At 38.6% G+C, this 26,704-nt stretch overlaps 2 long non-coding RNA genes across 2 annotated transcripts in view; one reads left to right on the top strand and one right to left on the bottom strand.

Moving 5' to 3' along the window:
* Positions 1–26,704, top strand: part of LOC124901975 (uncharacterized) — a 267,232-nt gene that overhangs the window by 159,811 nt on the left and 80,717 nt on the right. The window lies entirely within an intron of this gene.
* The window catches only part of LINC00534 (long intergenic non-protein coding RNA 534), a 166,472-nt gene continuing 154,338 nt past the window's right edge, over positions 14,571–26,704 (bottom strand). Inside the window, exon 4 of the long non-coding RNA NR_051989.1 lies at positions 14,571–14,963. This is a non-coding gene — a long non-coding RNA (long intergenic non-protein coding RNA 534). The remainder of the gene's footprint in view (positions 14,964–26,704) is intronic.

Here is a 26,704-nt window from a genome sequence, read left to right as displayed (position 1 = left end):
CGTGAACCCAGGAGGCGGAGCTTGCAGTGAGCCCAGATCGCGCCACTGCACTCCAGCCTGGACGACAGAGCAAGACTCTGTCTCAAAAAAAAATAAAAATAAAAATACAGAATCATTGTATTATTTGGGAGAAGGATGGAGTTTTTTTAATAAATTTCAGACATTGAAAGTCAAATATTCATGTTAAGTATTTAAGAATAAATAGTAAAAAGAAAATAGAAATAGATCGTATAACTTTTAAACTAATAAAGGGCAAAAAGGAAACAATAAAAGCTTATCCTATTTCAAGGATGCCCATTCAACGTGGGACTAAAAGACCTAGCCAGAACAATCAGACAAGAGAAACAAAAGAAGGCATCCAAATTGGAAAAGAGGAAGTCAAATTATCTCTGTTTGCTGATGATGTGATCTTATATCTAGAAAATCCTAAAGACTCTGCCAAAAGATTCCTAGATTTGAAAATTAATTCACTAAAGTTACAGGATATAAGCCCAAAATACAATAATCAGTACTATTTCTATACACCAATAAGGCTGAGAATCAAATCAAGAAGTCAATTCCATTTACAATAGCTATAAAAAACAAAACAAAACAAAACCCAAACCTAGGTATACATTTAACTTAGGTGAAAGGTGTCCACAAGAAACACTGCAAAACATGAATGAAAGAGATTGTAGATGACACAAACAAATGAAAAGACAGCCCAAGTTCATGGATTGGAAGAATCAATATCTTTAAAATGATCATACTGCCCAAGGTAATTTACAGATTCAATGCAACTTCTATCAAAATGCCGATGTCATTTTTTACAGAATTAGAAAACACAATCCTAAAATCTATATGGAACCGAAAAAAGATCCCAAAGAATGACAGCAATCTGAAGCAAAAGAACAAACCTGGAAACATCTCATTAACTGACTTCAAATTATACTACAAGGCTATAGTACCCAGAAACAGCATGGTACTTGTGTAAAAAAATAGACATATAGATCAATAGAACAGAATAGAGAACTCAGAAATAAAGCCACATACATACAGCCAACTAATCTTTGACAAAGCTGACAAAAAACATACACTAGGGAAAGGACATCTTGCTCAATAAATTGTGCTGGGAAAATTGGATAGCCACATGCAGAAGAATGAAACTGAATCCTATCTCTAGCCGTATGCAAATATTAACTCAACATGGATTAAAGACTTAAATGTAAGACCGGAAACTGTAAAGGTTCCAGAAGAAAACCCAGGAAAAACTCTTCTGGACATTGGCCTAGGCAAAGAATTCATGACTAAGACATCAAAAGCAAATGCAACAAAAATGAAAATAGACAAATGGGATTTAATTAAACTAAAAAACTCTGCACAGCAAGAAATAAACAAAAAAGACAACCTACATACAGAATGGGAGAAAATATTTGCACACTACGCATCTGGCAAAGGATGAAATATCCAGAATCTACAAGGTGCTCGAACCACTCAACAACAACAAAACCCAAATAACCTTGCTAAAAAGTGGGCAAAGGGTGTGTAGAGACATTTTGCAAAAGAAGATATATAAATGGATGAAGAGCATATGAATAAAATGCTCCACATCCCCAATCATCAGAGAAATACAAATTAAAACCACAACAATACAGCCTCACATCAGTCAAAATAGCTATTACTAAAATGTTAAAAAATAGCAGATGTTGGCAAAAGTGTGGAGAAAAAGGAATGCTTATACATTGTCAGTGGGAATGTAAATTAGTGTAACCTCTGTGTAAAACAATATGGAGGCCAGGCACGGTGGCTCACGCCTGTAATCCCAGCACTTTGGGAGGCTGAGGCAGGCAGATCACGAGGTCAGGAGATCAAGACCATCCTGGGTAACACAGTGAAACCCCGTCTCTATTAAAAACCCAAAAAAAACTAGCCAGGCATGGTGGTGGGTGCCTGTAGTCCCAGCTACTCAGGAGGCTGAGGCAGGAGAATGGCAGAACCTGGGAGGCAGAGCTTGCAGTGAGCCAGATGATGCCACAGCATTCCAGCCTGGGGGACAGAGTGAGACTCCGTCTCAAAACAAACAAACAAAAAATATGGAAAGTTCTCAAAAAAACTAAATATTCAACTACCATTGGATCCAGCAATCCCACTTCCTGTGTATCTTCCTAAAGGGAAGGAATCATTATATCAAAAAGATACCTCCACTTGTATGCTTATCATAGCACTATTCACAATAGCAAAGATATGGAATCAACCTAAGTGCCCATCAATGAATGAATGAAGAGAGAAAATATGGAATAGATGCTATATATATATATATAATCTGTAAATATCTCTATCATGACATCTATCAGTCTATCCATATATACACACCATGGAATACTACTGTACCATAAAACAGAATAAAATCATGTATTTTGTATCAACATGGATGTAACTGGAGGACATTATGTTAAGTGAAATAACTCATAAACAGAAAGTCAACTACCCCATGTTGTAACTTGTAAGTGAGAGCTAAATAATGTGTACACATGGACAGAGAATATGAAATTATAGACAGTGGACCCTTGCAAAGATGGAAGAGTAGGAGGAGAGTGAGGGATGAGAGATTATCTAATGGGTACAATGTATATTATTTGAGTAATGGTTACATTTTAGCCCAGACTTTACCAGTATGCAATATGTCCATGCAACAAAACTGCACTTGTACCCCTAAATCTATAGAAATAAAAATTTAAAAATGATGCAAATTATAAAAAGAAAATGTGTTCTATCCAATAGAAGGTAAGAAGAATGAAAAATAAAGCTAATCTTAAATAAAACAGAAGAATATGCTAAACTAAATCCAAGAATATGAATAAGTCCTACTAACGTAAACAGACTAAAAACAGTGTTAAAAGAAATAGCTTCTCAAAAAAAAAAAAGGCCAGCCGTAGGCTCTATATAAAAAATGCATCTAGAACAAACAAGAAAGCTTGAAGGTAAGTGAGTGGAAAATGATATTAACAAACCACACAGATGGGGGGAGCCAAGATGGCCGAATAGGAACAGCTCCGGTCTACAGCTCCCAGCATGAGCGATGCAGAAGACAGGTGATTTCTGTATTTCCATCTGACTTACCAGGTTCATCTCACTAGGGAGTGCCAGACAGTGAGTGCAGGACAGTGGGTGCAGCGCACCATGCACGAGCCGAAGCAGGGCGAGGCATTGCCTCACTCGGGAAGCGCAAGGGGTCAGGGAGTTCCGTTTCCTAGTCAAAGAAAGGGGTGACAAACGGCACCTGGAAAATCAGGTCACTCCCACTCTAATACTGTGCTTTTCCGACGGGCTTAAAAAACGGCGCACCAGGAGATTGTATCCTGCACCCGGCTTGGAGGGTCCTACGCCCACAGAGTCTCGCTGATTGCTAGCACAGCAGTCTGAGATCAAACTGCAAGGCGGCAGCGAGGCTGGGGGAGGGGTGCCCGCCATTGTCCAGGCTTGCTTAGGTAAACAAAGCAGCTGGGAAGCTCTAACTGGGTGGAGCCCTCCACAGCTCAAGGAGGCCTGCCTGCCTCTGTAGGCTCCACCTCTGGGGGCAGGGCACAGACAAACAAAAAGCAGTAACCTCTGCAGACTTAAATGTCCCTGTCTGACAGCTTTGAAGAGAGCAGTGGTTCTCCCAGCATGCAGCTGGAAATCTGAGAGCTGGCAGACTGCCTCCTCAAGTGGGTCCCTGACCCCCGACCCCCGAGCAGCCTAACTGGGAGGCACCCCCAAGTAGGGGCAGACTGACACCTCACAGGGCTGGGTACTCCTCTGAGACAAAACTTCCAGAGGAACGATCAGACAGCAGCATTTGCGGTTCACGAAAACCCGCTGTTCTGCAGCCACCACTGCTAATACCCAGGCAAACAGGGTCCGAAGTGGACCTCTAACAAACTCCAACACACCTGCAGCTGAGGGTCCTGTCTGTTAGAAGGAAAACTAACAAACAGAAAGGACATCCACACCAAAAACCCATCTGTACATCACCATCATCAAAGACCAGAAGTAGATAAAATCACAAAGATGGGGAAAAAACAGAGTAGGAAAACTGGAAACTCTAAAAAGCAGAGAGCCTCTCCTCCTCCAAAGGAACGCAGTTCCTCACCAGCAATGGAACAAAGCTGGATGGAGAATGACTTTGACGAGTTGAGAGAAGAAGGCTTCAGACAATCAAACTACTCCAAGCTACAGGAGGAAATTCAAACCAAAGGCAAAGAAGTTAAAAACTTTGAAGAAAATTTAGATGAATGTATAACTAGAATAACCAATACAGAGAAGTGCTTAAAGGAGCTGATGGCAGTGAAAGCCAAGGCTCGAGAACTATGTGAAGAATGCAGAAGCCTCAGGAGCTGATGCGATCAACTGGAGAAAGGGTATCAGTGATGGAAGATGAAATGAATGAAATGAAGCGAGAAGGGAAGTTTAGAGAAAAAAGAATAAAAGGAAACGAACAGAGCCTCCAAGAAATATGGGACTATGTGAAAAGACCAAATCTACGTCTGATTGGTGTACCTGAAAGTGACAGGGAGAATGGAACCAAGTTGGAAAACACTCTGCAGGATATTATCCAGGAAAACTTTCCCAATCTAGCAAGGCAGGCCAACATTCAGATTCAGGAAATACAGAGAACACCACAAAGATACTCCTCGAGAAGAGCAACTCCAAGACACATAATTGTCAGATTCACCAAAGTTGAAATGAAGGAAAAAAAGTTAAGGGCAGCCAGAGAGAAAGGTCGGGTTACCCACAAAGGGAAGCCCATCAGACTAACAGCGGATCTCTCAGCAGAAACTCTACAAGCCAGAAGAGAGTGGGGGCCAATATTCAACATTCTTAAAGAAAAGAATTTTCAACCCAGAATTTCATATCCAGCCAAACTAAGCTCCATAAGTGAAGGAGAAAGAAAATCCTTTACAGACAAGCAAATGCTGACAGATTTTGTCACCACCAGGCATGCCCTAAAAGAGCTCCTGAAGGAAGCACTAAACATGGAAAGGAACAACTGGTACCAGCCGCTGCAAAATCATGCCAAAATGTAAAGACCATCGATGCTAGGAAGAAACTGCATCAACTAACAAGCAAAATAACCAGCTAACATCATAATGACAGGATCAAATTCACACATAACAATATTAACTTTAAATATAAATGGACTAAATGCTCCAATTAAAAGACAAAGACTGGCAAATTGGATAAAGAGTCAAGACCCATCAGTGTGCTGTATTCAGGAAACCCATCTCACGTGCAGAGACACACATAGGCTCAAAAAAAGGATGGAGGAAGATCTACCAAGCAAATGGAAAACAGAAAAAGGCAGGGGTTGCAATCCTAGTCTCTGATAAAACAGACTTTCAACCAACAAAGATCAAAAGAGACAAAGAAGGCCATTACATAATGGTAAAGGGATCAATTCAACAAGAAGAGCTAACTATCCTAAATATATATGCACCCAATACAGGAGCACCCAGATTCATAAAGCAAGTCCTGAGTGACCTACAAAGAGACTTAGACTCCCACACAATAATAACGGGAGACTTTAACACCCCACTGTCAACATTAGACAGATCAACAAGACAGAAAGTCAACAAGGATACCCAGGAATTGAACTCAGCTCTGCACCAACCGGACTTAATAGACATCTACGGAACTCTCTACCCCAAATCAACAGAATATATATTCTTTTGAGCAACACACCACACCTATTCCAAAACTGACCACATAGTTGGAAGTAAAGCTCTCCTCAGCAAATGTAAAAGAACAGAAATTATAACAAACTGTCCCTCAGACCACAGTGCAATCAAACTAGAACTCAGGATTAAGAAACTCACTCAAAACCGCTCAACTACATGGAAACTGAACAACCTGCTCCTGAATGACTACTGGGTACATAACGAAATGAAGGCAGAAATAAAGATGTTCTTTGAAACCAATGAGAACAAAGACACAACATACCAGAATCTCTGGGACACATTCAAAGCAGCGTGTAGAGGGAAATTTATAGTACTAAATGCCCGCAAGAGAAAGCAGGAAAGATCCAAAATTGACACCCTAACATCACAATTAAAAGAACTAGAAATGCAAGAGCAAACACATTCAAAAGCTAGCAGAAGGCAAGAAATAACTAAAATCAGAGCAGAACTGAAGGAAATACAGACACAAAAACGCTCCAAAAAATTAATGAATCCAGGATCTGGTTTTTTGAAAGGATCAACAAAATTGATAGACTGCTAGCAAGACTAATAAAAAAAGAGAGAAGAATCAAATAGACACAATAAAAAATGATAAAGGGGATATCACCACCGATCCCACTGAAATAAAAACTCCCCATCAGAGAATACTACAAACAACTCTATGCAAATAAACTAGAAAATCTGGAAGAAATGGATAAATTCCTGGACACATACACTCTCCCAAGACTAAACCAGGAAGAAGCTGAATCTCTGAATAGACCAATAACAGGATCTGAAATTGTGGCAATAATCAACAGCTTACCAACCAAAGAGAGTCCAGGACCAGATGGATTCACAGCCGAATTCTACCAGAGGTACAAGGAGGAACTGGTACCATTCCTTCTGAAACTATTCCAATCAATAGAAAAAGAGGGAATCCTCCCTAACTCATTTTATGAGGCCAGCATCATCCTGATACCAAAGCCTTCCAGAGACACAACCAAAAAAGAGAATTTTAGACCAATATCCTTGATGAACATTGATGCAAAAATCCTCAATAAAATACTGGCAAACTGAGTCCAGCAGCACATCAAAAAGCTTATCCACTACGGTCAAGTGGGCTTCATCCCTGGGATGCAAGGCTGGTTCAATATATGCAAATCAATAAATGTATCCAGCATATAAACAGAACCAAAGACAAAAGCCACGTGATTATCTCAATAGATGCAGAAAAGGCCTTTGACAAAATTCAACAACGCTTCAGGCTAAAAACTCTCAATAAATTAGGTATTGATGGGACGTATCTCAAAATAATAAGAGCTATCTATGACAGACACACAGCCAATATCATACTGAATGGGCAAAAACTGGAAGCATTCCCTTTGAAAACTGGCACAAGACAGGGATGCCCTCTCTCACCACTCCTATTCAACATAGTATTGGAAGTTCTGGCCAGGGCAATTAGGCAGTAGAAGGAAATAAAGGGTATTCAATTAGGAAAAGAGGAAGTCAAATTGTCCCTGTTTGCAGATGACATGATTGTATATCTAGAAAACCCCATTGTCTCAGCCCAAAATCTCCTTAAGCTGATAAGCAACTTCAGCAAAGTCTCAACATACAAAATCAATGTACAAAAATCACAAGCCTTTCTATACACGAACAACAGACAAACAGAGAGCCAAATCATGAGTGAACTCCCAGTCACAATTGCTTCAAAGAGAATAAAATACCTAGGAATCCACCTTACAAGGGACATGAAGGACATCTTCAAGGAGAACTACAAGCCACTGCTCAATGAAATAAAAGAGGATACAAAGAAACGGAAGAACATTCCATGCTCATGGGTAGGAAGAATCAATATCGTGAAAATGGACATACTGCCCAAGGTAATTTATAGATTCAGTGCCATCCCCATCAAGCTACCAATGACTTTCTTCACAGAATTGGAAAAAACTACTTTAAAGTTCATATAGAACCAAAAAAGAGCCTGCATCACCAAGTCAATCCTAAGCCAAAAGAACAAAGCTGGAGGCATCACGCTACCTGACTTCAAACTATACTACAAGGCTACAGTAACCAAAACAGCATGGTACTGGTACCAAAACAGAGATATAGACCAATGGAGCAGAACGGAGCCCTCAGAAATAACGCCTCTTATCTACAACTATCTGATCTTTGACAAACCTGACAAAAACAAGCAATGGGGAAAGATTCCCTATTTAATAAATGGTGCTGGGAAAACTGGCTAGCCATATGTAGAAAGCTGAAACTGGATCCCTTCCTTACACCTTATACAAAAATTAATTCAAGATGGATTAAGGACTTAAACATTAGACCTAAAACCATAAAAAACCTAGAAGAAAACCTAGGCATTACCATTCAGGACATAGGCATGGGCAAGGACTTCATGTCTAAAACACAAAAAGCAATGGCAACAAAAGCCAAAATTGACAAATGTGATCTAATTAAACTGAAGAGCTTCTGCACAGCAAAAGAAACTACCATCAGAGTGAACAAGCAACCTACAAAATGGGAGAAAATTTTCGCAACCTACTCATCTGACAAAGGGCAAATATCCAGAATCTACAATGAACTCAAACAAATTTACAAGAAGAAAGCAAATAACCCCATCAAAAAGTGGGCAAAGGATATGAACAGACACTTCTCAAAAGAAGACATTTATGCAGCCAAAAGACACATGAAAAAATGCTCATCATCACTGGCCATCAGAGAAATGCAAATCAAAACCACAATGAGATACCATCTCACACCAGTTGGAATGGCAATCATTAAAAAGTCGGGAAACAACAGGTGCTGGAGACGATGTGGAGAAATAGGAACATTTTTACACTGTTGTTGGGACTGTAAACTAGTTCCACCATTGTGGAAGTCAGTGTGGCGATTCCTCAGGGATCTAAGACTAGAAATACCATTTGACCTAGTCATCCCATTACTGAGTATGTACCCAAAGGACTATAAATCATGCTGCTATAAAGACACATGCACACGTATGTTTATTGCGGCACTATTCACAATAGCAAAGACTTGGAACCAACCCAAATGTCCAACAATTATAGACTGGATTAAGAAAATGTGGCACATATACACCATGGAATACTATGCAGCCATAAAAAAGGATGAGTTCATGTCCCTTGTAGGGACATGGATGAACTTGGAAATCATCATTCTCAGTGAACTATTGCAAGGACAAAAAACCAAACACCGCATGTTCTCACTCATAGGTGGGAATTGAACAATGAGAACACATGGACACAGGAAGGGGAACATCACACTCTGGGGACTGTTGGGGGGTGGGGGGAGGGAGGAGGGATAGCATTAGGAGATACACCTAATGCTAAATGATGAGTTAATGGGTGCAGCGCACCACCATGGCATATGTATACATATGTAACTAACCTGTACATTGTGCACATGTACCTTAAAACTTAAAGTATAATAATAATAAAATTTAATTTAAAAAAACCACACAGATAAAGAGCGCCATTACATAATGTGAAAATAAACAACTCACTAGGAAAACAAAATAACGTTGAGCCTGTAGACTCCTAACAACACAGCATAAAAATTCATATAAGCAAAAAATGAGTTACAAAGAAAATTTGACAAATATGCAGTGATAATGGAGAATTTTAACCTGTGTCTTTCAGTAATTGATAATGAGAGCTAAGTCAGTGGAAGCATTTTTAAAAAATTAGTCAGTGGCTGAGACTAGTCACTAGTCTCATTAATTAGTCAGCTAGCTGTCCACCAGAAATGTGTGCTCCTTCCACAATGTGGAGTTGGCACTGTGGGGTGGCTGTCCAAGGCCGGACTTCATTTCCCAGTCTTTTATGACCATGTGACTATTTGTTTTCTCCCAAAAGAAGGGGAACAGAAGTTAAAATATCATTAAGGCATTATCTTCTGCCTATCAGGGTGGGGACTTTTTTTTTTATTATTATACTTTAAGTTCTGTTTACATGTGCAGAACGTGAAGGTTTGTTACATAGGTATATACCTGCCATGGTGCTTTGCTGCACCAATCAACCCAACATCTACATTAGGTATTTCTTCTAATGCTATCCCTCCCCTTGCTCTCCAGCCCCCGGCAAGCCCCAGTGTGTCATGTTCCCCTCCTTGTGTCCATGTGTTCTCATTGTTCAACTCCCACTTATGAGTGAGAACATATAATGTTTGGTTTTCTGTTTTTATGTTAGTTTGCTGAGAATGATGGTTTCCAGCTTCATCCATGTCCCTGCAAAGGACATGAAATCATCCTTTTTTATGGCTGCCTAGTGTTCCATGGTGTATATGTGCCACATTTTCTTTATCCAGTCTATCATTAGTGGAAATTTGGGTTGGTTCCAAGTCTTTGCTATTGTGAATAGTGCTGCAATAAACATACATGTGCATGTGTCTTTATAGAATAATTTATAATCCTTTGGGGATATACCCAGTAATGGGATTGCTGGGTCAAATGGTATTCCAAGTCCTAGATCCTTCAGGAATTGCCACACTGTCTTCCACAATGGTTGAACTAACTTACACTCCCACCAACAGTGTAAAAGTGTTCCTATTTCTCCACATGCTCTCCAGCATCTGTTGTTTCCTGACTTTTCAATGATCGCCATTCTAACTGGCATGAGATGGTATCTCATTGTGATTTTGATTTGCATTTCTCTAATGACCAGTTATGATGAGCTTTTTTTCATGTTTGTTGGCTGCATAAATGTCTTCTTTTGAAAAGTGTATGTTCATATCCTTCACCCACTTTTTGAAGGGGGGTTTTATTTTTTTCTTGTAAGTTTGTTTAAGTTCCTTGTAGATTCTGGATATTAGCCCTTTGTCAGATGAGTAGATTGCAAAACTTTTCTCCCATTCTATTAGGTTACCTGTTCACTCTGATGGTAGTTTCTTTTGCAGTGCAGAAGCTCTTTAGTTTAATTAGAACCAATTTGTCAATTTTGGCTTCTGTTACCATTGCTTTTGGTGTTTTAGTCATGAAGTCTTTGCCCATGCCTATGTCCTGAATGGTATTACCAGGTTTTCTTCTAGGGTTTTTATGGTTTTATGTCTTACGTTTAGGTCTTTAATCCATCTTGAGTTAATTTTTGTATAAGGTGTAAGGAAGGGGTCCAGTTTCAGTTTTCTGCATATGGCTAGCCAGTTTTCCCAACACCATTTATTAAATAGGGATTCCTTTCCCTATTGCTTGTTTGTGACATGTTTGTCAAAGATCAGGTGGTTGTAGATGTGTGGTGTTATTTCTGAGGCCTCTGTTCTGTTACATTGGTCTATGTATCTGTTTTGGTGCCAGTACCATGCTGTATTGGTTACTGTAGCCTTGTAATATAGTTTGAAAACAGGTAGCGTGATGCCTCTAGCTTTGTTCTTTTTGCTTAGGATTGTCTTGGCTATATGTGCTCTTTTTTGGTTCCATATGAAATTTAAAGTTTTTCCTAATTCTGTGAAGAAAGCCAATGGTAGCTTCATGGGTATAGCATTGAATCTACGAATTACTTTGGCCAGTATGGCCATTTTCAGGTTATTGATTCTTCCTATCCGTGAGCATGAAATGTTTTTCCATTTCTTTGTGTCCTCTCTTATTTCCTTGAGCAGTGGTTTGTAGTTCTCTTTGAAGAGGTCCTTCACATCCCTTGTAAGTTGGATTCCTAGGTATTTTATTCTCTTTGTAGCAATTGTGAATGGGAGTTCACTCATGATTTAGCTCTCTGTTTGTTTATCATTGGTGTATATTAATGCTTGTGATTTTTACACATTGATTTTGTATCCTGAGAGAGACTTTCCTGAAGTTGCTTATCAGCTTAAGGAGATTTTGGGCTGAGACGATGGGATTTTGTAAAAATACAATTATATCATCTGCAAACAGAGACAGTTTGACTTCCTTTCTTCCTATTTGAATACACTTTATTTCTTTCTGTTGCCTGATTGCCCTGGCCAGAACTTCCAGTACTCTGTTGAATTGGAGTGGTGAGAGAGGGCATTCTTGTCTCGTGTCAGTTTTCAAAGGGAATGCTTCCAGCTTTTGCCCATTCAGTATGATATTGGCTGTGGGTTTTTCATAAATAGCTCTTATTATTTTGAGATACATTCCACCAATACCTAGTTTATTGAGAGTTTTTAGCATGAAGGGGTGTTGAATTTTATCAAAGGCCTTTTCTGCATCTATTGAAATAATCATATGGTTTTTGTCATTGTTTCTGTTTATGTGATAGATTATGTTTATTAATTTGTGTATATTGAACCAGCCTTGCATCCCAGGGATGAAGCCAACTTGATCATGGTGGATAAGCTTTTTGATGTGCTGCTGGATTCAGTTTGCCAGTATTTTATTGAGGATTTTTGCATCAGTGCTCATCAGGGATATTAGCCTAAGATTTTCTTTTTTTGTTGTGTCTCTGCCAGGTTTGGATATCAGGATGATGCTTGCCTCATAAAATGAGTTCAGGAGGAGTCCCTCTTTTTCTATTGATTGGAATAGTTTCAGAAGGAGTGGTACCAGCTTTTCTTTATACATCTGGTAGAATTCGGCTGTGAATCCATGTGGTCCTGGTCTTTTTTTGGTTGGTAGGTATTAACTACTGCCTCAGTTTCAGAACTTGTTATTGGTCTGTTCATGGATTCAACTTCTTTCTGGTTTAGTCTTGGGAGGGTGTATGTGTCCAGGAATTTTATCTATTTCTTCTAGATTTTCTAGTTTATTTGCGTAGAGGTGTTTATAATATTCTCTGATGGTAGTTTGTATTTCTGTGGGATCAGTGGTGATATCCCCTTTATCATTTTTTATTGTGTCTATTTGATTATTCTCTCTTTTCTACTTTATTAGTCTGGCTAGTGGTCTATCAATTTTGTTGATCTTTTCAAAAAGCCAGCTCCTGGATTCATTGATTTTTTTGAAGGTTTTTTTGTGTCTCTGTCTCCTTCAATTCTGCTCTGATCTTAGTTATGTTTTGTCTTCTGCTAGTTTTTGAATGTGTTTGCTCTTGCTTCTCTAGTTCTTTTAATTGTGATGTTAGGGTGTTGATTTTAGATCTTTCCTGCTTTCCCTTGTGGGCATTTAGTGCTATAAATTTTCCTCTAAATACTGCTTTAGCTGTGTCCCAGAGATTCTGGTACATTGTGTCTTTGTTCCATTGGTTTCAAAGAACTTATTTATTTCTGCCTTCATTTCATTATTTACCCAGTAGTCATTCAGGAACAGGTTGTTCAGTTTCCATGCAGTTGTGCAATTTTCAGTGAATTTCTTAATCCTGAGTTCTAATTTGATTGCACTGTGGTCTGAGAGACTGTTATGATTTGCATTCTTTTGCTTTTGCTGAGGAGTGTTTTACTTCCAATTATGTGGTCAATTTTAGAATAAGTGTGATGTTGTGCTGAGAAGAATGTATATTCTGTTGATTTGGGGTGGAGAGTTATGTAGATGTCTGTTAGGTCTGCCTGGTTCAGAGCTGAGTTCAACTCCTGAATATCCTTGTTAATTTTCTGTCTCGTTGATCTAATATTGACAGTGGAGTGTTAAAGTCTCCCACTATTATTGTGTGGGAGTCTAAGTCTCTTTGTAGATCTCTAAGAACTTGCTTTATGAATCTGAGTGCTCCTGTATTGGGTTCATATATATTTAGAATAATTAGCTCTTCTTGTTGCATTGATCCCTTTACCATTATGTAATGCCCTTCTTTGTCTTTTTTGATCTTTGTTGGTTTAAGGTCTGTTTTTATCAGAGACTAGAATTGCAAGCCCTGCTTTTTTTTGTTTTTGTTTTTGCTTTCTATTTGCCTGGTAAATATTCCTCCATCCGTTTATTTTGAGCCTATGTGTGTTTTTGCACATGAGATGGGTCACCTGAATACAGCATACCTATGGGTCTTGATTCTTTATCCAATTTGCCAGTCTGTGCCTTTGAATTGGAGCATTTAGCCCATTTACATTTCAGGTTAATATTGTCATGTGTGAATTTGCAGGATGGGAACATTTTAAGTGTTACAAACACCAAGTATTGGCAAGAATATGAAAAAGTAGAAACCAGCATACTGTTTATGTGAATATATACTGGTAAAACTACTTTGAAATGCAACTTGGCAATACCCTAAAAAGCTAAAGATGTTAGTGTTAATGATTCAAAAAGTCTATGCCTAGATTTCTAGACAACTAGAAAGCAAAGAAAATTTTAAGAATTGTACAAGGATATTCATTACACCAGTGTTATAGCAAAAAGAAGAAACAGCCTAACTGTCCATCAGTAGGAAATAAATATACCATAGTTTATTCATATATTAAGTACCATAAAGCAATTGTAGTGGAGTGAGGAGATCTACATGTACCAAGAATAAATTATCCCCAAAAAAGAAATGAAGAGTGAGAAAATCAAACTCACAAATGATATGCCCTCTGGGATGTTACTAATGAAACTATATAAGAACATTAAAAAGTAGTACGAAGTTAATGAATACATACATAAGTAGAACATGTACAAAGCCAAACATGGAAATATTACATACCGACTTCAATGTAATAGCTACCTCTGGAGAGAAGAGGAAGGGATTGATAGATGGGGTTTTGGCTGCATCTCTAGTATTTTGTGTGTGTGTTAGAAAAGTCTGAAGCAAACGTAGTAACATCTTAACATCTCTTAAATCTGGATGCTGAGACCATGGTGTCTATTATATTATTTTTGTGCCTTATTGTAAGTTTGAAACATTTCAAAATAAAACACTATTGGCCTATAGGCATGACCAAATCAGACAATAAACACATAACCTTTATGCAAAAATGAGCCACAGGTCTACAGTGTCCCTGGTCAGCATAGTTTTCAGTTCTTAATCAGAAAAATTAAGTGCATTTAGAAAACCAACATGTGAGTATGACATAATCATTTTATACTAATCAATTAAGTACTTTGTGTTCCTGGGAGCTATTCTAGGAAGTCAAACCAGCAAAGCTATATACACAAATATCCTATAATTTTTTAAATGTACAAAAACTTTTCCTGGCTGAATGTGGTGGCTCATGCCTGTAATCCCAGCACTTTGAGAGTCTGAGGCAGAAGGATTGCTTGACTCCAAGAGTTCAAGACCAGCCTGTTCAAGATAACAAGACTGCGTCTCCACAAAAGAAAAATTAAAAAATTAGTGGGGCGTGGTGGCACATGCCTGTAGTCCTAGCTGCTTGCGAGGCTGAGGTGAGAAGATTGTTTGACCTCAGGAGATTGAAGCTGCAGTAAGCAATGTTCACGCCACTGCATTCCAGCTTGACTGACAAAATAAAACCCTGTATCAAAAAAAAAAAAAAGTAAAAGTTTCAATAAAACAGAAAGAGACTTAAAACTTTTCAGTAAACTTATTCAGCATTGAGATTCCTATTGTGAAAGCAGGAGAATAATTTACCTATCGCTACCAGTGAGACCAACAGTATCCTGAGATGTTGTAGAAGTGGAAGACAGACTATTGGCAGGGCAGTGAGATTCATGCTCAGTGTTGTAGATTCTTCATTCATGATCAAGATTTTGATCTACTTGATAGAGTGTATAAAGCCTTATTTCTTTTCCTTTCCTTAATTTCCTTTTTCTCCTCCTCTTTCTTTTCTCTTAATTTTTCTCCCTATTCCTCTTCTTATTATTATTCTTTTTCTTCTGCTTCTTGTTCTTGTTTTTGTTCTTTTCTTCTCCATCAAATAACTAGCACTTGCTAAATGCTGGATACAATGTTTTACAAACATTATCTCATTTAATTTTCACAGCAGTTAGGTAGATATTTTTATTCCCATTCACCAGATGCTAGAATTGAGGCTTCAAGAAGTGAAAAACATGTACAAGTCATGCAGATAGTACTTGGAAAAGTCACGATTATAAACCAGGTTTGGGCCGGACATGGTGGCCCATGCCTGTAATCCCAGCATTTTGGGAGGCCAAAGCGGGAAGATCGCTTGTGGCCAGGAGTTTGAGACCAGCCTGGGCAACACAGTGAGACCCTGTCTCCACAGGAAAAAAAAAAAAAACAAAAAACAGGCAAGGCATGCCTGTTGTCCTAACTACTTGGGAAGCTGGGAGGATTGCTTGAGCCCAAGGCTTTGAGGCTGCAGAGAGCTATGATCACATGGCTGAACTCCAGCCTTGGCAACAAAGAGAGACCCCATCTCCCATCTCAAAAGAGAAAAGAGAAAAGAAAAAAAAAGTTTGCCTGCAGTTTCAAATGCATGGATATTTGTAACTGCTGTGAAATGAGACCTCCTAAAAAGTTGAGTGACCTGAGGCACCATTTGAAATGAGTATCTTTGCCAAGTTTTATTTTTTAAAAAGAGAAGCTTTTACGCTGGTTGGACCTTTTAACTATAAATCTACTAGAAAACATTCTGAATGAGGAAAGAAAAATCCAGAAAGTTCTGATACTCTCGAACAGAATTTTTAGATGTCAGTTAGGACCCTTTCTTTAAAAAATTACCAATTCAAAATAGCTCTAGTGAAAGAGGTAATTCATTCACTCAAAGTGTCATCTCCTTTGATCCAAGGTAAAGAGTTTTCGTCAGGCATGGCTCAATTTGGGTTCCATAAAGTATCATCCAGACTTGCTTTCTCTCAATTCTCTCACTTGATGACTTCCAACACAGCCAGATTCATCCGTGGGGGATCAGAAGAGCTACAGCAGCCTCTGATTCATAACCTCCCCACTGCAAGTGCAGAAGAAAAGATCAAAAGCCTTTTTTGCAGGGGTAGGCCCCCTAAAAGGAACATGAAGTAGCTTAGGTCAGGTGACAAACTCTAAAATGGTCAACATTCCTTGGAAAGCATTTTGATTGTCTAGACCTTTGTCAAATGCTCCACCACTGGAATCAAGAGTGTAGGCCTGACAGAGCCTTCTGAGGACATTCCAAGACAGTATACAGTCCTGGGTTCTCCTTGGAAATCTGTATAGATAACATTTCAAGGGCAATACCTTGTTGGTTTTGACTGGATATTCATATAAGATTTTTAAAGAGTTGAGTGATAGAGGTAACTCTTATCTGTAAGTTTTGAATTTATACTGTTTCATCCCATGGACCAAATCATTTTTTCCTACAAATTGTTTGGGTTTTCATTGTTTTTTTTGTTTTTGTTTTTGTTTTTTTTTGCATTCGGGGGGTTGTAAAAGAAAAGAAAGCAGGATGTTTTATCATGGTTTTTGCTTCAGCAGCTTTAGGACAAATTAAAAGTCAATTCTAGTGCCAGGAAAAAAAAAAACAGTTGGAGTAGATTCTGGGGCACCAAGCAACCCTATCCACTAAACCTACTAAATTACAGGATCCCAGTGTCCTCTCTCTATCTCTCATCACTCAACCCTTGTCTCATATAATCAATCACCAAGTATTGCAGACTACTTCTTAAATAATCCCTTTCTTTCCATCGATATTATAACATCGATATGTTACCTTGAAACATTTCATTAGTTCATTTCTTCAACAAGTATGCATTATCTATAATGTGCCAACATTATAAATTATCACTGAGTAAGGATATATAGATGAAGCAAACTTAGATTTTGCCATTAAGGAGCTCACAGTCCGTGCAGGAGAAAACAGATTATTATTATAAGATATGTTGTGATACAAATATACACAGGGTGCTATGTGAATAGAATTTAAGGCTAACAAAGAATTACTAAAGGAGGTGATGTCTGACTGAGACTAGGTAATGAGCATTATTGCAAACAGAAGGATCAGCTTGAGCAAGGCTACTGAGGTAACAAACAGCAGAGTTAACATTCTGGTTTCAATGATGCATTATAGTTATATAGGATGTCATTGCTGGGGGAAACTGGGTAATGGGTACACAGGACCTCTCTGTATTATTTTTGCAACTTCCCATGAGTCTACAGTTATTTTTCCCCAACAGGTTTTTTAAAATCAATATAGCATGTGAAGTGTTCTAAACTTCTTGGACACTGCTGGTGCATCTGCTTGAAAGGCAGAGTTTTGAAAATGTTGCAGAAAAGGTGGACAGGTGCCATCTTGAAAAGTAGGCTTACTACTTTTTTGGCCCCATACCATAGTATTGGAGAAGTTGGTGGGTTTTAAGCTGGAGATTGACTTGATTCCTGCTTATTTGTGTCATCTTTTCCTTGTGTATCAACGTGGACACTAGTCCTTACTCTGCAACAGCTTCCCGAAGCCTCTAGTACTTTGCTTGTTTTTCTCAGATTTTTTGACCGTTTGAACTTGGTAGGGAGATTATTGTCTTATCCTCTGAGGGACTTCAGCTAATTCTCCAAGGCCTAATTTTCTTCCCCACCATGTGAGTCTTGAAGCAAACCTTGCCAACTCTCTACTACAGGCTAACCTTGATACCTATGTTAGAATGTAATCACAACTGTGGAGAAGTCAGGCTGGATAAACACAGCATTACCCAGGGGTCTAGCCAACAAAAGCCCAGCAACAAAGAGACATGAAAAACAGTTTTCAGTTTCTTCCAGCAGTTTATTCATTAGCTATTAATATTTGTTTAAAAACATTTATCACGCACTAACTTCATAGTAGATTCCATAGAAAAATGAGTTGGACAAAATCTCTGTCCTGGATCACCTTCAGCTGAGGGATCAGGGATATAAAATAGTCTCAGTGGAAGATAAGAGCCGTGCTTGTGGTTTATAAAAGCAGAGTGTTGTCACAAAGAGAGAGAATCAATTCATCCCGAGATGGCTGGGTCACCAAGGGGGCAAGGAATCAAATCTAACATATGAGGCATGGAAACAGCAATGAGTAACAGTGACCTGAAGTATATAAACTGTATTTATCTTCATGTCCTAGAGAGTCATCAATTTTGCATGTTACAAAAGCAGTCTGTTACCCTCTCCAGAGTGGAATGTGAAAAGACTTCAGCAATGCCTTCCTGTACCCCTGCACATTAGAGATTAGACGTCCCAAGACATAATTTTAATAAAAATTCCAGAGGGAGAACTTTCCCTAGAAATGAAAGAATCTAAATGTGTGACAACCATTTTAGATGAAGGACAAGACAGAGACTAAAGGAAAGAAGGAGATTCATTCATGGACTCATTCAATGAATATTTATTGAGCCCTACTTTATGCAAAGCACTCTAGTAGTATCTCAGTATTCTGAGAATTACAAAAATCAACCATTGGCATGAGTCTCTAAAAATACTTATCTTGTTAGCAAGTTCTGATGCAGCCTCTCACAACTGCCTTCCCATTCAAAAATAAATTAAAACACAGTGAAAAGAGGAACAATTATCTTAGAGAAAGTAGGAAACAACATAAACATTCTTTGTTGTCTTGTTCAGTTTAGAGACCTAGAAACTACTCACCCTGAAAACCTAGGTTGACATTTCTTTACTGGTTAGGTGCTACATTTTAGGTTTGCCAGAGAAGTGTCCCCACAACACTCATCTTTGTATAGCTAAACAGAGAGAGGGAAGAAAGGGCAGAATATTATGGGAGTGAGGGATGGAGGTGTAAGGATGGAGGAGAAAGAGGAATGGAAGAGGAACTGTACACTCCCAGGGCTATAGATTCTATTAAAACAACTGAAGCATAAAAAAGAGCCCTGTGCTTCCCAAAGTTTGCTGTATGCTGTGGAGAGTTTTTGTTTTTTTGTTTTGTTTTGTTTTTCAATATATTCTATCACTTCCATAGGAGAAAGTCCCAACTTGGTTATGCAAAGTTGTATGAGATACAGGACTCCCAGTCTCTAGAGTGTTTAGTGGGAGCTATCACAACGAGACTTCCAATCAAGTATATAAGGGTCCAAGCATCCAGTTAGTCACAGAGCGAGGTCACTAGCAACGCACACTCCTCACCTAAAAAAATGGCACAATTTGGAGAAATTTCTTCTCATTTGAGGATGATTGTTAATATTACTATCAATAATGAGAATAAGAATAATTAACATTAATTAAGGACTTTCTATGTGCCGAGCACTGAACTAAACACTTTAAATGTTTTATCTACTTTATCATTTCAACTCCATGAAATAAAATCTATTACTCCCTAAACTGGTTGTATTTAAAAATTCACAAAAGAGAAATTTTATGGTATAAATTATAATAATTTAATGACAATATTTTGTTAACAATGGTAAATTCTCAAACAGAATGGGTAAATAATAGGACCAAACATTTAAAAAAGAAATACAAAAGGTCAGCAAATAATGGAAAATGGTACTTTCAACTGATTAACAAAAACAGCAAGTTAAAAACAATAGGTAACAATCAACTACATTTTAGGAAACATTACAGCATTATAATATCTAACGTGTTCTTAAATTCAGGAAATTTTCAAGCATGCTGGTAAGGCTATTATATTTTCAGAACTTTACTAAAAGCCTTTTGGACTTATGTCTCAAAACCTGCAAGTAATTCATACATTTTCCCCTGGTAATTCAGCTCCCCAAAACTTATTCTAAGGTATCAAAGATCTGCATAAAAATGTATAAAAATATTATTGCATTATGCAAAAAAGTGAAGACCTCCTAAATATTCAACAATTCAAAATTTGTTTTGAAATACATTGTGCATTGAAGTAACAGAATGTTATGCAACAATTAATAATAATAATTTTGAGTTCTCCCACTTTGAGTTTCTTTTTCAAAATGGTTTGGCATCTCTTTCAAGATGGTTTGCATTTCCATATGAACTTTAGGATCAGCCTGTCCATTTTTGCAAAAATACCAGCTGATATTTTGATAAGGTTTTTGTCAAATCTGCAGATCAATTTGAAGAGTATTGCCATCTTTACAGTAATAAGTGATATGATCCATATCATGGACCCATTTATGGATTTCCATTTATTTAGATTTGCTTTGATTTCTTTCCATGAATTTTTGTGGTATTCAGTGTACAAATGTTGTACTTATATCACTAAATTCATGCAAAGTGTTTTATTATTTTAGATGCTATTGCGAATATAATTATTTTCTCAGTTTCATTTTTGGATTATTAACTGCTGAGGTATAGAAAAACAATTGAATTTTGTAGGTTGATTGGTATGTCCTGCAACATTTCTGAATTCATTTATTAGCTCTAGTAGATTTTAGTGAATTCTTTAGGATTTTCTATACACAAAATCATACCATCTTCAGATAGACATAATTTTTACTACATCACTTCTAAACTTGATGTCCTTTGTTTCTTTTTTTTTTTGTAATTGTCCTGGCTAGAAACTTCATTAAAATGTTGAATACTAGTGATGGAAGCAGACATCTTCTCATCCTGATGTTATGAGAAAAATATTACTCACAATTATTATATTAACTATGAGGTTTTTTTATTATTATACTTTAAGTTCTAGGGTACATGTGCACAACGTGCAGGTTTGTTACATATGTATACATGTGCCATGTTGGTGTGCTGCAACCATTAACTCATAATTTACATTAGGTATATCTCCTAATGCTTTCCCTCCCCCCTGCCCCCACCCCATGACAGGCCCATCCTGTGTCCCTTCCTGTGATGTTCCCCTTCCTGTGTCCAAGTGTTCTCATTGTTCAAATCCCACCTATGAGTGAGAACATGAGGTGTTTGGTTTTTTTCCTTGCGATAGTTTGCTGAGAATGATGGTTTCCAGCTTCATCCATGTCCCCACAAAGGACATGCACTCATCATTTTTTATGGCTGCATAGTATTCCATGGTTTATATGTGCCAAATTTTCTTAGTCCAGTCTATCATTGACGGACATTTGTGTTGGTTTCAAGTCTTTGCTATTGTGAATAGTGCCACAATAAACATACGTGTGCATGTGTCTTTATAGCAGCATGATTTATAATATGTTGCTTATATACCCAGTAATGGGATGGCTGGGTCAAATGGTATTTCTAGTTCTAGATCCCTGAAGAATCGCCACACCGACTTCCACAATGGTTGAAATAGTTTACAGTGCCACCAACAGTGTAAAAGTGTTCCTATTTCTCCACATCCTCTCCAGCACCTGTTGTTTCCTGACTTTTTAATGATCGCCATTCTAATTGGTGTGAGATGGTATCTCATTGTGGTTTTGATTTGCATTTCTCTGATGGCCGGTGATGATAAGCATTTTTTTCATGTGTCTGTTGGCTACATAAATGTCTTCTTTTGAGAAGTGTCTGTTCATATCCTTTGTGCACTTTTTGATGGGGTTGTTTGTTTTTTTCTTGTAAATTTGTTTGAGTTCTTTGAAGATTCTGGATATTAGCCCTTTGTCAGATGGGTAGATTGCAAAAATCTTCTCTCATTCTGTAGGTTGCCTGTACACTCTGATGGTAGTTTCTTTTGCTGTGCAGAAGCTCTTTAGTTTAATTAGATCCCATTTGTCAATTTTGTCTTTTGTTGCCATTGCTTTCGGTGTTTTAGACATGAAGTCCTTGACCATGCCTATGTCTTGAATGGTATTGCCTAGGTTTTCTTCTAGGGTTTTTATGGTTTTAGGTCTAACATTTAAGTCTTCAATCCATCTTGGATTAATTTTTGTATAAGGAGTAAGGAAGGGGTCCAGTTTCAGCTTTCTACATATGGCTAGCCAGTTTTCCCAACACCATTTATTAAATAGGGAATCCTTCCCCCATTTCTTGTTTTTGTTAGGTTTGTCAAAGATCAGATGGTTGTAGATGTGTGGCATTATTTCTGAGGGCTCTGTTCTGTTCCATCGTCTATATCTCTGTTTTCGTACCAGTACCATGCTGTTTTGGTTACTGTAGCCTTGTATAGTTTGAAGTCAGGTAGTGTGATGCCTCCTGCTTTGTTCTTTTGGCTTAGGATTGTCTTGGCAATGTGGGCTCTTTTGTGGTTCTATATGAACTTTAAAGTAGTTTTTTCCAATTCTGTGAAGAAGCTCATTGGTAGCTTGATGGGGATGGCATTGAATCTATACATTACTTTGGGCAGTATGGTCATTTTCACGATATTGGTTCTTCCTATCCTTGAGCATGGAATGTTCTTCCATTTGCTTGTGTCCTCTTTTATTTCATTGAGCAGTGGTTTGTAGTTCTCCTTGAAGAGGTCCTTCACATCCCTTGTAAGTTGGATTCCTAGGTATTTTATTCTCTTTGAAGCAATTGTGAATGGGAGTTCACTCATGATTTGGCTCTCTGTTTGTCTGTTATTGGTGTGTAGGAATGCTTGTGATTTTTGCACATTGATTTTGTATCCTGAGACTTTGCTGAAGTTGCTTATCAGCTTAAAGAGATTTTGGGCTGAGACGATGGCGTTTTCTAAATATACAATCATGTCATCTGCAAACGGGGACAATTTGACTTCCTCTTTTCCAAACTGAATACCCTTTATTTCTTTCTCCTGCCTGATTGCCCTGGCCAGAACTTCCAACACTATGTTGAATAGGAGTGATGAGACAGGGCATCCCTGTCTTGTGCCAGTTTTCAAAGGGAATGCTTTCAGTTTTTGCCCATTCAGTATGATATTGGCTGTGGGTGTGTCATAAATAGCTCTTATTATTTTGAGATACATCCCATCAATACCTAATTTATTGAGAGTTTTTAGCATGAAGTCCTGTTGAATTTTGTCAAAGGCCTTTTCTGCATCTATTGAGATAATCATGTGGTTTTTGTCTTTGGTTCTGTTTATATGCTGGATTACGTTTATTGATTTGCATATGTTGAACCAGCCTTGCATCCCAGGGATGAAGCCCACTTGATCATGGTGGATCAGCTTTTTGATGTGCTGCTGGATTCGGTTTGCCAGTATTTTATTGAGGATTTTTGCATTAATGTTCATCAAGGATATTGGTCTAAAATTCTCTTTTTTTGTTGTGTCTCTGTCAGGCTTTAGTATCAGGATGATGCTGGCCTCATAAAATGAGTTAGGGAGGATTCCCTCTTTTTTATTGATTGGAATAGTTTCAGAAGGAATGGTACCAGCTCTTCCTTGTACCTCTGGTAGAATTTGGCTGTGAATCTGTCTGGTCCTGGATGTTTTTTGGTTGTTAGGCTATTAATTATTGCCTCAATTTCAGAGCCTGCTATTGTTGTATTCAGGGATTCAACCTCTTCCTGGTTCAGTCTTGGGAGAGTTTATCTGTCGAGGAATTTATCCATGGCTTCTAGATTTTCTAGTTAATTTGCGTTAAGGTGTTTATAGTATTCTCTGATGGTAGTTTGTATTTCTGTGGGATCAGTGGTGATATCCCCGTTGTCATATTTTATTGCATCTATTTGATCTTCTCTCTTTTCTTTATTAGTCTTGCTAGCAGTCTATCAATTTTGTTGATCTTTTCAAAAAACCAGCTCCTGGAATCATTGATTTTTTCACGGTTTTTTATGTCTCTATTTCCTTCAGTTCTGCTCTGATCTTAGTTATTTCTTGCTTTCTGCTAGCTTTTGAATGTGTTTGCTCTTGCTTCCCTAGTTCTTTTAATTGTGATATTAGGGTTTCAATTTTAGATCTTTCGTGCTTTCTCTTGTGGGCGTTTAGTACTATAAATTTCCCTCTACACACTGCTTTAAATGTGTCCCAGAGATTCTGCTATGTTGTGTCTGTGTTCTCATTGGTTTCAAAGAACATCTTTATTTCTGCCTGCATTTCGTTATGTACCCAGTAGTCATTCAGGAGCAGGTTGTTCAGTTTCCATGTAGTTGAGCGGTTTTGAGTGAGTTTCTTAATCCTGAGTTCTAGTTCTTTGCACAGTGGTCTGAGAGACAGTTTGTTATAATTTCTGTTCTTTTACATTTGCTGAGGAGAGCTTTACTTCCAACTATGTGGTCAATTTTGGAATATGTGAGATGTGGTGCTGAGAAGAATGTATATTCTGTTGATTTGGGGTGGAGATTTCTGTAGATGTCTATTAGGTCCACTTGGTGCAGAGCTGAGTTCAATTCCTGGGTATCCTTGTTAACTTTCTGTCTCATTGATCTGTCTAATGTTGACAGTGGGGTGTTAAAGTCTCCCACTGTTATTGTCTGGGACTCTAAGTCTCTTTGTAGATCCCTAAGGACTCACTTTATGAATCTGGGTGCTCCTGTATTGGGTGCATATATATTTAGGATAGTTAGCTCTTCTTGTTGAATTGATCCCTTTACCATTATGTAATGGCCTTCTTTGTCTGTTGATCTTTGTTGGTTTAAAGTCTGTTTTATCCGAGACTAGGATTGCAACCCCTGCCTTTTTTTGTTTTCCATTTGCTTGGTAGGTCTTCCTCCATCCCTTCATTTTGAGCCTAAGTGTGTCTCTGCCCATGAGATGGGTCTCCTGAATACAGCACACTGATGGGTCTTGACTCTTTATCCAATTTGCCAGTGTGTGTCTTTTAATTGGAGCATTTAGCCCATTTACATTTAAGGTTAGTAGTGTTATGTGTGAATCTGGTCCTGTCATTATGATGTTACCTGGTTATTTTGCTTGTTAGTTGATGCAGTTTCTTCCTAGCATCGATGGTCTTCACAATTTGGCATGGTTTTGCAGTGGCTGGCAGTGGCTGGTACCTGTTGTTCCTTTCCATGTTTAGTGCTTCCTTCAGGAGCTCTTGTAGGGCAGGCCTGGTGGTGACAAAATCTCAGCATTTGCTTGTCTGTAAAGGATTTTATTTCTCCTTCACTTTTGAAGCTTAGTTTGGCTGGATATGGAATTCTGGGTTGAAAATTCTTTTCTTTGAGAATGTTGAATATTGGCCCCCACTCTCTTCGGGCTTGTAGAGTTTCTGCCAAGAGATCAGCTGTTAGTCTGATGGGCTTCCCTTTGTGGGTAACCCGACCTTTCTCTCTGGCTGCCCTTAACATTTTTTCCTTCATTTCAACTTTGGTGTATCTGACAATTATATGTCTTTGAGTTGCTTTTCTCGAGGAGTATCTTTGTGGCGTTCTCTGTATTTCCTGAATTTGAATGTTGGCCTACCTTGCTAGGTTGGGGAAGTTCTCCTGGATAATATCCTGCAGAGTGTTTTCCAGCTTGGTTCCATTCTCCCTGTCACTTTCATGTACACCAATAAGACGTAGATTTGGTCTATTCACATAGTCCCATATTTCTTGGAGGCTTTGTTCATTTCTTTTTACTCTTTTTTCTCTAAACTTCTCTTCTCACTTCATTTCATTCATTTGATCTTTAATCACTGATACCCTTTCTTACAGTTGATCAAATCAGCTACTGAAGCTTGTGCATTCATCACGTAGTTCTTGTGCCATGGTTTTCAGCTCCATCAGGTCATTTAAGGACTTCTCTACATTGGTTATTCTAGTTAGCCATTTGTCCAATCTTTTTTCAAGGTTTTTAGCTTCTTTGCGATGGGTTCAAACTTCCTTCTTTAGCTCGGAGAAGTTTGATCATCTGAAGCCTTCTTCTCTCAACTCGTCAAGTCATTCTCCATCCAGCTTTGTTGCATTGCTGGTGAGGAGCTGCATTCCTTTGGAGGGAGAGAAGTGCCCTAATTTTCAGAATTTTCAGCTTTTCTGCTCTGTTTTTTCCCCATCTTTGTGGTTTTATCTACCTTTGGTCTTTGATGATGGTGATGTACAGATGGGGTTTTGGTGTGGATGTCCTTTCTGTTTGTTAGTTTTCCTTCTAACAGTCAGGACCCTCAGCTGCAGGTCTGTTGGATTTTGCTGGAGATCCACTCCAGACCCTGTTTGCCTAGGTGTCAGCAGCAGAGGCTGCAGAACAGCGAATATTGCTGAACACAAATGTTGCTGCCTGATCCTTCCTCTGGAAGCTTCATCTCAGAGGGGTACCCTGCCGTGTGAGGTGTCAACCTGCCCCTACTGGGGGGTGCCTCCCAGTTAGGCTATTCGGGGGTCAGGCACCCACTTGAGGAGGCAGTCTGTCCGTTCTCAGATCTCAAACTCTGTGCTGGGAGAACCACTACTCTCTTCAAAGCTGTCAGACTGGGACATTTAAGTCTGCAGAGGTTTCTGCTGCCTTTTGTTCAGCTATGCCCTGCCCCGAGAGGTGGAGTCTACAGAGGCAGGCAGGCTTCCTTGCGCTGTGGTGGGCTCCACCCAGTTTGAGCTTCTCAGCTGCTTTGTTTACCTACTCAAGCCTCAGTAGTGGCGGGCACCCCTCCCCCAGCCTCACTGCCGCCTTGCCGTTCGATCTCAGACTGCTGCGCT

The sequence above is a fragment of the Homo sapiens genome, chromosome 8, assembly GCF_000001405.40.
Source record: "Homo sapiens chromosome 8, GRCh38.p14 Primary Assembly".
Lineage (NCBI taxonomy): Eukaryota > Metazoa > Chordata > Mammalia > Primates > Hominidae > Homo > Homo sapiens.
Note: the sequence above shows the minus strand (reverse complement) of the source record. Positions and strands in the feature narration are given on the sequence as shown.